This window comes from Homo sapiens, chromosome 15, assembly GCF_000001405.40.
Source record: "Homo sapiens chromosome 15, GRCh38.p14 Primary Assembly".
NCBI classification, from domain to species: Eukaryota; Metazoa; Chordata; class Mammalia; order Primates; family Hominidae; genus Homo; species Homo sapiens.
This window is the reverse complement of record NC_000015.10, coordinates 59,206,668-59,220,454: the sequence shown is the minus strand read 5'-3', so window position 1 is coordinate 59,220,454 and position 13,787 is coordinate 59,206,668. Positions and strand designations below refer to the sequence as shown.

Genomic DNA, 13,787 nt, shown 5'->3' with positions numbered 1-13,787 from the left:
TGTTTTGAGACAGAGTCTTTCTGTGTCACCCAGGCTGGAGCGCAGTGGCGCTATCTCGGCTCACTGCAACCTCCACCTCCTGGGTTCAAGCAGTTCTCCTGTCTCAGCCTCCCAAGTAGCTGGGATTACAGGTGCGCACCACCACGCCTGGCTAACTTTTGTATTTTTAGTAGAGATGGGGTTTTGCCACGTTGACCAGGCTAGTCTCAAACTCCTGACCTCAGATGATATGCCTGCCTGGGCCTCCCAAAGTGCAGTAATTAGAGGCGTGAGCCACCACACCTGGCCAAACAAGCTTTGTTTTTTTTACCTGACCTTAGACTAATGGAAATGTAGCATTTCCCTGGTCAAACCTTTACGTTGCTGTGAAGCTAAACAAACTAAGAAATCCCTTCTTAGTTGGATATGTTGGTGAATGTCTCTTGATTCTCACAACAACCCGACATGGGTCCAGTCTGATTTATGAATGTCATCTGTCCTTACTCTGTGCACAGGAGTGCAACTCTGTGAGATGAATGCACACATCGCAAAGAAGTTTCTCAGAATGCTTCTGTTTAGTTCTTCTGTGAAGATATTTCCTTTTCCACAACAGGCCTCAAAGTGCTCCAAATATCCACTTGCAGATTCTACAAAAAGAGTGTTTCAGAACTGCTCAATCAAAAGAAATGTTCAACTCTGTGAGATGAATGCACGTTTAGTTCACTGGAAGACATATCCAGATTCCTAGACATGTGTTAACAGTAAAACTAAACTAAGGATAATGGCCATTTTCAGATCAGTGCATTTGATTTTGTTTACATGTCCTTTCTAAAAGGAAGCCCTTCTATTGCTCAAAGCATTTTTGTGAAACACTCATATAGAGGATAAATGTCTTGTTCTGGCATTATACTTTTTCAAAATGTATTCACTGACTTAATCTCATTGGAAGGTGTATACTGAGAAATGTCAGCCCGTTATATTCTAACACCATCTGTGAAATTCAAACAGATTATCCTTTATTGGGAGGCTTGTGATTTTTTAGCATTATCATAAGGCCTTTAACAAAATTCTTTTATCAGATAATTTTGGTAAAGCATTATGCAGAAAAAGAAAACTCAGCCAAGTTCAAAATTTGCATTGCATCTATAAAAATCTTTCATTCATATTGGAAAAATCTGAGCATTCTTTCATGTCAAAGAATGGTGTCATTTATTTATATGAGAACGTTCTGCCCAGAAATCAAGAAAACCCCATTTATATCACTAGCCCTCCTTGGTAAGTTTCATGGTCTGAAACAAGATGTTGAGCTATGGAAGTCTCCGTTTTTCTATCCAAAGACCACAGACTGCCATACCATGTGACATTAGGGCAGGATATGAACAATACCATCCCCTTCATTTCACTCCATATGCTACCCTCAGAGGAATCTTCTTATAATGCCCCTCTTTATTAGCCATCAGGCCCCCTTTTGCCTCCAGCCCAAATATATCATACCATTCAAGGACCCCCAGCATTGGAATCTGTCCTAACCTTTTAAATCTGACCTGAACTTTCACCTGTAGCCAGTGCTAGTCCACACACTGTAGACCGTCTCGTCTTGATCATGTCTCCCACACTTCTGCTTCCTCCCCTTGGTACACTCCCTTCTCCTCTCTGCATCTGCACAAATCGTATTCATCCTTTACACCCAGCTCAAATCTCTTGACTACCCCAGCAAGTAGTAATATCTTCCTGTTCTAATTTCTCCAGATCTTGTCTGTCTGTGTTACATATTCAGCTTTTCCAAGGGTTCTTTATTTGGCAAACTATTTTTGCCTCATCTAGATTGCATTCAAGATTTCTTACATATTTTCTATCTTTTCCTCTCTCTTTAGTAACCCTACACATGCTAAATACTCAATAAACATGGGATTGGTTGTAATTATTAGTTCAGTAATATCAGGTGCTTCAAAAATGATGCTATGAAAACATTGTACTAAAAAGGAAGAAAACAATATTTGGAGCCAAAGAAATGTTTCTTGATTGAGTTCCTTCCTGGCTGTCGTGCTGGAAGCTTGGAGAGATGTCCATTTTAGGCATTTGACTGTGATCTCAGTAGGAGGGATAGGTTTGCCATCCTTCTTGAATCCCTGATTTGTATTATTGGAAGTCTCAGTCATCATAGGAATTGACTCATGTCATAAAACAATTGGGAAAAACAAAGGAGATGGATGTGTATGGGATTACTGATAAGCAGCCTTCACTAGAACGTAAGCTCTTGGGGCCCGTGATTGTGCCTTCTATGCACACACACGTGCATGTGCACATAAGTGCCTCCATATGTTTGTGAGATGACTTGGAAGTGTCACAATTCTGAAAGATTGTCATGTTTTGTTTTATGTTCTACAGTTTTAGCTTTTCCTGCATATCTGCTAGGGATAAACCAGGACCGGTTGAAAGAAAAGCTAACAAGCCGGCAGATGGATAGCAAGTGGGGAGGCAAATCCGAATCCATCCACGTGACCCTCAACGTAGAGCAGGCCTGTTACACCCGGGATGCGCTCGCCAAGGCCCTGCACGCCCGGGTCTTTGATTTCTTGGTAGATGTAAGTAACAGAAGTTGATGCTGGTGATGCTTCATATCTTAGCTATAAAGAGTAAAACTAGTAGGCTGGGTGCGGTGGCTCACACCTGTAATCCCAGTACTTTGAGAGGCCAAGGTGGGAGGATCACTGCAGCCCAGGAGTTTGAGACCAGCCTCTGCAACATGGTGAGACCCTGTCTCTACAAAAAAACACAAAAATTAGCCAGGTGTGGTGGCATGTGCCTGTGGTCCCAGCTACTCAGGAGGCTGAGGTGGTTAAGATCACTTGAGCCTGGGAGGTCAAGGCTGCAGTGAGCCGAGATTACGCCACTGCACTCCAGCCTGGGGGTTAGAGTGAGATCCTATCTCCCAAAAAAAAAAAAAAAAAAAAAAGGTAAAACGACTGAGGGTTTTGTGTTCCTGTTCTGGCTCCTTCCTTTCACCCATTACCTTACTTCACTTTCTCTCACTCTGTGATTACTGAATCCTGCTTTTCCTTCTAGAACTGCCCACCAAGATACCTTAGCTAAATCTAATGTGGTAACAAGTTTCTTCTGGACAAAATATTTAGTAAAGCTAGGACTAGAGACCAGAAAAAGAGGAGAGCCACGTTCATGGGCCTTTCTTGACTTTTGGACCTAAAGATTTAGGAATATGTTTTTCACATATTTCTATGTTACAAATTAACCCAAAACCTAGCGGCTTGAAACCATAAGCACTTATTTTCTCAGTTTCTGAGGGTGAGATATTTGGGATCGGCTGAGCTTGGTGGTTCTGACTCAAAGACGAGGTTGCAGTCAGGAAGCTGATTGGAACTGTGGTTGTCTGAAGGCTTGCCTAGGGTTGGAGGATCTGGCTGAAAGATGGATTGCCCATGTGGCTGTTGGCAGGAGGTCTCAGCCCCTTGCTGCATGGACCTCTCCTTGAATATCCTCATAACATAATGGTTGGTTTTCCCCAGAGCGAGTGATCTGAAAGAGAGAATGAGCAAGAAGCCAGTTTTTTATGTCCTAATCTTGGACTCAGGTATTGTCACTTTGCCACATTCTGTTTATTAGAAGCAAGTCACTAAGCAAAGATCACACTTAAGGGGAGGGGAATGAGGCTCCACCTTTTAGAGGAAGGAATATCAAAAACTTTTTGCATGTATTTTGAAACTATTAGATATTTTTGGTTATGGCATAATTATGTGTGTGTGTGTGTGTGTGTGTGTGTGTGTGTATGTGTATATATATATATATATATACACATACACACACACACACACACTGGGGGCCCTTCGATCCAAAAGATAGATAGATAGATAGATAGATAGATACACACACACACACACATAAACTCTTATATATGAATATATATTTATATATGTATATCACATATATATTCTGACAATTAGTCTTTCAGCAGTGTAGAGCTGCCAGTAACAATCTCTGTTAATCACTGTAGCCTCTAAATGGTAAAATAATAATAGCAGGCACTTATATAGAACTAACTATGTTAGTGCCCAGATACTGTTCTGAGTATTTTAAAGAGAAAAAACCCTCACTTAATTCTTACAACAACCCTGTGACTTAGGTATTATTATCTCTGCTTTACAGATAAACTAAGGGAGGCATAGATCGATTAAGGAATTTGCCCAAGGTCACTCTGTTATTATGTGAGTGATCTAGGAGGCCCTAGATTCCTAGCTAGTTTGTTTCTTTGACGTTTATATATTCAAGCTAGAAGGACCCTAGTCAAGGGACAACAGTGGGGGCCATTCAATCCAAAAGATCTGTATTTGATTCCAGGCACTAACATTTATACGGCTTAAGGTATGGTTAGTGTGGTTAGAGTAGGGTCAGGCAGGACAGGGTAGGAGAACTATTCTAGGTACTTTAGTGGCTATTTAAAGGATAACATTGCTTGGGAAGGTCAGGGTCATACTAAACAGAAGTCATGCAGTTAGGTTGTCCAGACCCCTCATTTTACTGAGAAGGGAACTTCAGGCCTGAGCAATGGTGGTTTTGCCCAAGGCTGGTCAGCAAGGGGGTGGTGCAGCCTGGGACTAGAATCCATATCTCTTTTCTCTTTGTTCAGAGCACCTTCCAGCGCTGGGCTTCCTACCTACCTTTCTACCTGTCACCTGTCAGTTTTTTTTGTGAATAGTACCAGTACATGAATACTCATATAAGTGATCCTAATTTGAGGTGGGATTTACTGGGCACTGACTGTGTGTTGTGTATGATTACTCATTCGCTCACAAAAGATGATATTTCATTTTGTTTGCCTGGAAAACACCTCTGGTACTTCAGAATTCGTCCAGGTATTCATCACCTCAAAGAATTGTTCGCTTACATTCCTCCCCCACTGCATCCCCCACCAACCGCTCTATCCAAACCTCCCTTGCTGTCATTACATCTGTTCCCATGAATTGCTTGGCCTCTTCTCACGGTGATTAAGAACACAGATTTAGGCATCATACTGCTTAAATTTAGTCCCAGACCCTGCTTCTTACATAGAACAACCTTAAGCAAGCCTTGGTGTATCCATGTGGAAAATTGGGAAAATAATGGTATCACTGCCATTTTGAGAACTGAAATGGGAATTAAGTGAAACAACACATTGAGAGCACTTAGCAAACCCTGGCAAAGGTGAATGTTTAATAGACGTAAGCTGCTTCTATTATCAATTCAAAAATAATGACTATTGTTACTATCTGCAGATAGCTCACCCTCTCTATAAGCGCCTAGGAACAAGGGTTGTCTTGTCCTTAGCATCCCTGGCATATTGTGTTGGGTCATCATTAAATGACTGGTGAATGGAAGACACTGGAAATGACAATTACAGATCCTTTAGTGTGGGTTCTTTGTGTGAAATAGGTTTTACTTCGATCATCCAAGATGACATTTTTTTCTAATTGTTAAGACTTCCTGAAAAAGCTTACTTGGACAGAAATTAATGGTTATCATCATTAAACAAACATTTTTTGTTTCTACTGTACTCGCTTTTCTGAATCCTGGTGGTTTTCCAAAGTACTTGACTTTGGACTGAGAGATTGTTAAAGCAGCAAGTCTCCTGCCTTCACTTGTCCTCTGTTTCCTGCAAGCAGTAGTGTTTGCCGTGTAGAATCCAGCTTCCCTTTCCCCAGTGCATGCCCGTTTTTAGTATGAATGGAAAGGAGTTCACTGCCATGCTGTTTACTTTCTCTAGTCCATCAATAAAGCCATGGAGAAAGACCATGAAGAATACAACATTGGCGTCCTAGACATCTATGGCTTTGAAATATTCCAGGTAAGGCCAGTTTTAATAACTAGGGGTTGAGGAGGGTGACGTATTTCATCTGGCCTGCAAGAAATAATTCTAGGCAATGCAAAAACAAAAAAACAGAAAACAAACCACAACAACAAAAAAAACAACTCAGGCTCATTTTTGCCTTTGTGAGTTCTTCATGTGCCTTTACCAAATTAGTTTCTCCTAAATATAAACTTATTTCTTTTGATGCATCCAACATTTCTATTAAAGCTTTTCACATGAAGACATTTCAATAAATCACTCCAGAAATGACTTTTAAATGATTTTGTGAAAGAATTACATGTGAATAACTTTTTTTTTCCAGAAAAATGGCTTTGAACAGTTTTGTATCAATTTTGTTAATGAAAAACTGCAGCAGATTTTTATTGAACTGACATTAAAGGCAGAACAGGTAAGCAGTCCCTCTTCCTTCATCCTATTCTATTTATAATTTATTTTGTTTAAGAGGGTATAGATTTCTGTCTTTTGTTAATAGATTTCGGTTCCAGTCTTATATTAGGAAATGCATCTAATAAAGTCAGGCAGAAAAACCATATGCCATTGTGGCATTTTAATCTATGAAATATAAATACCGTCTGCAGCATTTGCCTTCTTCTTTAAGCAAATGATGCTGTGATGTTGGAGGTAAGACTGGCTGCTTTTACTCTACTGACTCATTGAGCACGTGGGAAATGGGAGCCTAGTTCCAGCCCCGACTGTCTGTGGCAAATATTGTGTTCCAAATAAAAGACTTGGTTTCCTCAGATCTACGCCATTTTCAATCTTCCCTAACAATACGTGCATTTTTAACAAAGCTGGTATTTGAATACTTACCTGAGGTAACATGCCTTGGTATAGTTTCTTCTAAAGTTCACTGCAGGCTGGGTGCTGTGGCTCGTGCCTGTAATCCTAGCACTTTGGGAGGCCGAGTCGGGAGAATTGCTTGAGCCCGGGAGTTCAAGACCAGCCTGCGGGACAAAATGAGACCCCATCCATACAAAAAAAATAAAATAATTAGCTGGACGTGGTGGCATAAGCCTATAGTCCCAGCTACTCTGGAGGCTGAGGTGAAAGGATTGCTTGAGCCCAGGAGGTCGAGGCTTATATCATCACACCACTGCACTCCATCCTAGGCAACAGAGCAAGACTCTATCTCAAAAATAAATAATAGCCAGGCGCAGTGGCTCATGCCTGTAATCCCTGCACTTTGGGAGGCCGAGACGGGCAGATCACTTGAGGTCAGGAATTCGAGACCAGCCTGGCCAACATGATGAAACCCCGTCTCTACTAAAAATACAAAAATTAGCTGGGCGTGATGGTGTGTGCCTGTAGACCCAGCTACTCAGGGGGCTGAGGCAGGAGAATCGCTTGAACCCAGGAGGCAGAGGTTGCAGTGAGCTGAGATCGTGCCACTGCACTCCAGCCTTGGCGACAGAGCGAGACTTCGTCTCAAAATAATAATAATAATAATAATAATAATAATAATAATAATAATAATAATAAATAAATAGTTCAGTGCAGTTTCCATTGTTTCCTGATAGCATATTGTTTAGGATTCCTGGGGCCACCATAACAAAGCACCACAAACTGAGTGACTTAAAACAGTAGCAGTTTCTTCCCTCCCAGTTGTGGAGCCCAGAGTCTGAAGTCAAGAAGTCCTCAGGGCCACACTCCTCCTCCTCCTCAGGATAGAGGGGAGAATCCTTCCTCTTCTAGTTTCTGGTGGCTCCTGGCATTTCTTGGCTTATGGCAGTTTGACTCCAGTCTCTGCCTGTGTCTTCACGTAGCCTTTTTCAATGTCCCTCTGTGTCTATATCCAAATCTCCGTCTCTTTCATGAAGACACCATTTTAGCTTTGCGCAATGGCAATATTTTAGCCAGGGCTGTTCATCTGAGGCATGATTATTGCTAATTGAAAACTTTTCACAATACCCTGCCATGATGACTGGAAATACAGTCAGCATTGACAATTTTTGACAGTCTCTATGGAGAGTGAACTGTAAAAAAAAAGAAAAAGAAAAGAAAGACACCATTGTTTTGGATTTCAAGTTCACTCTAAACCCAGGATGACTTATTGTGAGATCCTTAGTGAATTACATTTACAAAGACCTTATTTCCAAACCTCACATTCTGAGAGGTTCCAGGTGGATGTGAAATTTGGGGGGATACTATTCAAGCCATTACACACATCAAAGGCTGTTTGGGGTCATTTAGTTATGGAAGTGTTTATGCCTCTGCTTAGGAAACACCATACCAGGGGGTTTCACGTGACCTTCTGCCCTGGAACCTGCCCTTGGTTGTTTTGCTGTAGCTACTCTAAGGGGTGGGGTAGGCTAGAGGTTCACATGAAACCCATTGCTCCCATTGCCATCTAAGTCCCTACCACGTCTAGCCCAGTCTCCTGCAGTAGTCTCCTAACTGGTTTGGTAGTTTCCATATGGGTTTCCTGTGAACCTCTAGCCTTCCCCAACCCTTAGAGTAGCCAGAGCAAAACAACCAAGTAAGAGTGCAATAGCCAGTGAGATGGGAGAGGGGAGGCAGGGGCTAGATTGTATGGGAACTTGCAGGGCATGGCTGAGACTTTGGGTGTTACAGTAAGTGGAATGAGGACCCACTGAAGAATTTTGAGGGAGGAGTGACATGATGTGATTTGTTGTGTTTTTGAAAGGGTCACTCTGGCTCTATAGACTTATAGAGTGGGATGAGTCAGGGGAAAGCAAACTAGAATGGAAGTTTAAAAACCAGTGAGGGGGATACTGCAGGAGACTGCGCTAGACATGGTAGAGACTTAGACGGCCATGGTAGCAGTGTAGGTGGGGAGGGGGAGTATCTGGAGAGTGAGAGAATGGGACTTGCTCAAAATAATTAGCAATAGCCAAGAAAGAAAGAGCAATCACGGGTGATTCTTAGCTTTATACCCTGGATAACAGGGCCGATGGTGACACTGTTTACTGGAGGGTAAGATTAGAAGAGGGGTTGTTTGGAGGTCACGGGAAATATGGAATCAGAGTTCCTCTAAACAGGTTAAGTGGGAGAGGCCTATCATACATCCAAGTGAAGATTCCAATCTGTAGAATGGATTTGAGTCTGGAACCCCGTGGCGAGGTATAGACTAGAGAAATAAATTCAGGGGTCATTAGCCTGTAGGTGGTATTTAAAGCCATGGGATTGATTGAAATCACCTAGAGAAGGAGGGCTGAGAAAATGAGAAAGCTGAAAGATTGAGCCCTGAGACTCTACCACATATAAAGGTCTGGAAATAAGAAAGACCTGGCAAAGGAAGCTGACAAAGTGAAACCAGTGAGGAAAGAGGAAAAAACCAGGATGGTGTTGTGGTGTTCAAGTTAAATGAGCAACTCATAGACTGAAGAACCTTCCCATTAAGTACCTGGATGCTAATCTGTACTCCTGTCCTATATTCAATTTTTTTTTTTTTTTTTGAGTTGGAGTTTCGCTCTGTCATCCAGGCTGAAGTGCAGTGGCACAATCTCAGCTCACTTCAACCTCCACCTTCTGGGTTCAAGCAATTCTCCTGCCTCAGCCTCCCAAGTAGCCGGGATTACAGGCGCGCCCCACCACACTCAGCTTCTTTTTGTATTTTTAGTAGAGACAGGGTTTCACCATGTTGGTCACGATGGTCTCGAACTCCTGACCTTGTGATCCGCCCACCTCGGCCTCCCAAAGTGCTGGGATTACAGATGTGAGCCACCGCGCCCAGTCCTATGTTAAATTTTAAGAGTTTTGTGATTTTTTTGTAACTGGATTTATCAGTTCGGTGCTACTAAATTGTAGTTTTCTTTGGCCAGAAACAGTTGTGTGGCAATAATTTCATAGGGTTCAAACTAAACATAAAAATCACCAAGTCATAAAATGTTCCTTTCCTGTTACCTCTTAGAAAATAAAAATTAAAGTCCCTGGTCTTTGTTGCAGGACATTCAGGTTTTTCTCTTTTATGGGAATTTTTGTCCATTCAGGGTCTGTCCGTGCAGAGCTCTTGCTATCTGGGAAATAATGTGAGTTCCTTGTCTCTGTGTTACAGGAAGAATATGTTCAAGAGGGAATAAGATGGACACCCATTGAGTACTTTAATAATAAAATCGTATGTGACCTCATAGAGAACAAAGTGGTAAGTGTTCATTTAGTATGTCTTTTCACTGCTCACAGGTTTACATTAAGTGAGTTTTTATTCTCTGTGTCATTGTTTTAGAACAGGCAAAGTGACAACTCTGATTTGCAGAGAATTTGAGCAATTGTACTAGTTTTCTGTATGTGTGAAAAGAGAACAGTACGGCTTTATTCTGGCAGTAAATATGAACATGTGGATATGAGTAAAATGTCAATGTACAAATGGAAGTTGTTATTGAATTCTAAGAGAAGACAGGATCACATGATGACTTAGCATGGAAAGAGCCATAAAATTGGCCCTGTGTTCTAGTCCAACTTCTAGGACTTTAGCCTTAATGACTGATTCAGGCTGGTCATGGTGGCTCGTGCCTGTAATCCCAGTACTTTGGGAGGCTGAGGCAGGTGGATCGCTTGAGCACAGGGGTTCAAGACCAGCCCCAGCAACATGGTGAAACCCTATTTCTAAACACAAAATTTAGCTAATACAAAAATTGTATTAGCTAAATACAAAAATTAGCCAGGCATGGTGGCACGCACCTGTAGTCCCAGCTACTCTGGAGGCTGAGGTGGGAGGATCGCTTGAGCCTGGGAGGTTGAGGATGTGGTGAGCTGAGATTGTGCCACTGCACTCTAGCCTGGGTGACAGAGCAAGGCAAGACCATGTCTCAAAAAAAAAAAAAAAAAAAAAAAAAAAAAAAAGGTGATTCAAAATAAAAGTGATACAGAACAAATATCTCTATAGGATTTTTTTATATATATAAAAGCCAAAAACTGGAAACAGTAAAAACATCCGTAGACAACTTATTTATTTATTTATTTACATGTTTATTTATTTATTTTGAGAGACGTCTCGCTCGGTTGCCCAGGCTAGAGTGCAGTGGCGCCATCTTGGCTCACTGTAACCTCCACCTCCCGGGTTCAAGCGATTCTCCTGTCTCAGCCTCCTGAGTAGCTGGGATTACAGGCGCCCACCACCACACCTGGCTAATTTTTGTATTTTTAGTAGAGAGGGGGTTTCACCATGTTGGCCAGGCTGGTCTTGAACTCCTGACCTCGTGATCCACCCCCCTCGGCCTCCTAAATTGCTGGGATTACAGGCATGAGCCACCATGCCCGGCCAGACAACTTAGTTATTAAACAAACTATAGCATATCAGAACAGAGAAGTATAGCCATTAAAATAGTAAGTGTGAAGAATGTGTAAAACATGAGGAATGCTTATAAAATAGTGCTATGTGAAAAAGGAAATGCATTATAGAATGTGTACACTAAATAACTACCGAAATGATGCCTATATGGGTAACACGCTGAAAGAGAACATTAAGAAATAGATTAGGTCAAAGGAAAATGTTTTTACTTTTGGATTCTTAAGCAAGTCAATTTGGCATGACTATGAGTGAGCAGATAATGATCTGTGCATGACTCTTGGATAAAACTTCAGGGAGTTAAACAGCTTTTTGGAAAGTGGAGTTTCCTCCCTCTTTAGATCTAAGTGGTGACTCCCTATTTGGGACTATTAATTGCATTCTTGCCTGAAGGGGAATACTGACTTTCAAGATGGTATCTTAAGTCTGGGGAGCTGTTTCCTTGCCTAAGAAAGGACCTGATAAGCATTGTCTGTTTTGGAGAGGTCAGTGACTAGGGCCTTGCCTTCTTGCTCCCATCAGAACCCTCCTGGCATCATGAGCATCCTGGATGACGTGTGCGCCACGATGCATGCGGTGGGTGAGGGGGCAGATCAGACGCTGCTCCAGAAACTTCAGATGCAGATTGGGAGTCATGAGCACTTCAACAGTTGGAACCAAGGCTTCATCATTCATCATTATGCTGGGAAGGTATGGCCAATATCCATTTTAATGTCTATCTGTTTTAAGCCTTTGGGTTTGTGATCTGGTTTCTCATGAAGCAAATCATATGGCTCGCCGTATTTTATTGATTCAACAAACGGAATTTATTAACTATCAAAGGAAGCAAAACAAAAGATTGTATATACTACTGCATTTTTTTGTATGTACATTTATTTTTACATTGTAGAAGAAGCTACTACTTTTTTACAGCATATAAATGAACATAGGTATAAACCAGCAAGAATGAAAGAAATAGCATATATCTAATGAAAAGAGTCGGAATTTCTAGAACACAATAAATACCTACATCCTACTTTTTGGGAACCAAATGCCAACTACATATATATAACATGGCAAGTGCTGCTACATCAGAGGTACCAAAAATACTTAGGAATTGTAAATAAGTATCGTCCAGCACGTGGATGCTCAATAAAAGAGCTGGAGGACTAAATAAATAGGAAAATCACTCTACCTACTTTCCTGTTTCCATCTTTTAGGAATTCAAGTTTATTCAAAATTTCGTTATATAATCCTGTATCTATGATCTCTTCAATAATTTCGGAATGGTAGTTTTAGGCAACTTTAAAGCTTAAGCTTATTCTGAATTTCCCAGAGTGTTTTTGCACTTTTTTTCAGATGGGCCTCTTCTTCAGGGGTCAGCTTTATCTTTATAAGGTTGGTAATACCGTTCTCTCCCAGGATACAAGGAATACTGAGGAATACTTCTTCATCTATTCCATAGAGGCCCTTAATTATGGTGGAAACTGGATGTATTCTCCTAAGATTCTTCAAAATACTTTCTGTTAAATCGGCCACAGATAGGCCAATGGCCCAAGAAGTATAACCTTTCATTTTAATAATCTCATAGGCAGTTGCAGTCACTTCTTTGTGGACATTTTTCCATTGCTCAGGATCTTTATCAGTTCCTATATCAGAGTTCAGATCCTTCAAAGGGACACCAGCTATGTTCACTCCACTCCACACAGGAACACTTGAGTCTCCATGCTCTCCGAGGATCCATCCATGGCAGCTTTCAGAATGGATACCAAGCTTTTGTCCAATCAAGAAACGAAAACGAGCAGTATCCAGATTACAGCCGCTTCCAATAATACGGTTTTTGGGAAATGCACTCAACTTCCAAGCTACATAAGTTAAGATATCCACTGGATTGGAAACAATAATCAGTTTGCAGTGGGGGCTGTACTGGACAATACTGGAAATCATTAACTTGAAGATGGCCACATTTCGCTGGACTAAATTAAGGCGCGTTTCTCCCTTTTCTTGGCGTGCACCTGCTGTGATAATCACTAGGTTGGAGTTTGCTGTGACAAAGTAATCTTTGCTACAAACAATATTTGGCATTTTCGTGAAAGGGCTGCCATGTTGAAGATCCATCGTCTCACCCTTCAGTTTGTCTTCATCAAGATCCACAAGGGCAAGTTCATCACTCAAGCCTTTTAATAAGATGCTGATAGCGCAGGCCATGCCCACCGATCCAGTTCCTATGATGGAGACCTTACTGTGATGAACGGGCTTCTCGGAAGTGAAACGCTCAATAAGCTCACTCTTCACAGTCGCCATCTTGCTCACGGGGGTGAAGAGCCAGGTGCCGTTGAGCGGGATGCGCGTTGCTTGACGCGGACACAGGGCCATCCCCAGGCATAGGAAATTCGCTCCCACCGAGCTCACTCTCTGGCTGGCCCGCACAACAGGCACAGTCCAACTCATGGCTGCTCACTGAAGAAGTGGAGAGAGAGAATGGAAAAAAGCTGCTGATCCGAACGTTGAGACGCCAAGAGAGCCGTTGGCAGGACCTTCAGCACTCTACGGCAGGTGCGCGTGCCCCGCCCCCTGGCCCTCTACTGCGGCTGCGCGGGCCTTGCCAGAGTCTCCGACACGTGCTTTCCGTGGGTGCTCAGACTAAGGCAGTGAAGGGCTGCTTCTCTAGCAAGTGATTTCTGGAGTTAGTTTTGCTAAGAGTATTATCAATAGTTGACATGC

The 13,787-nt window shown here is 42.0% G+C and overlaps 2 protein-coding genes and 1 pseudogene across 2 annotated transcripts in view; 2 read left to right on the top strand and 1 right to left on the bottom strand.

The window, feature by feature from the left end:
• The window catches only part of MYO1E (myosin IE), a 240,438-nt gene that overhangs the window by 152,417 nt on the left and 74,234 nt on the right, over positions 1-13,787 (top strand). The window contains exons 10-14 of the mRNA NM_004998.4: positions 2,368-2,564; positions 5,735-5,815; positions 6,141-6,227; positions 9,855-9,941; positions 11,607-11,774. Coding sequence (NP_004989.2) covers positions 2,368-2,564; positions 5,735-5,815; positions 6,141-6,227; positions 9,855-9,941; positions 11,607-11,774 — 620 coding nt within the window. The remainder of the gene's footprint in view (positions 1-2,367; positions 2,565-5,734; positions 5,816-6,140; positions 6,228-9,854; positions 9,942-11,606; positions 11,775-13,787) is intronic.
• Positions 7,667-7,807, top strand: RNU4-80P (RNA, U4 small nuclear 80, pseudogene; annotated as a pseudogene).
• Positions 11,867-13,612, bottom strand: LDHAL6B (lactate dehydrogenase A like 6B). The gene has a single exon (NM_033195.3). It carries the CDS (start codon positions 13,512-13,514, stop codon positions 12,369-12,371), a length of 1,146 nt encoding a protein of 381 aa, NP_149972.1. The 5' UTR covers positions 13,515-13,612; the 3' UTR covers positions 11,867-12,368.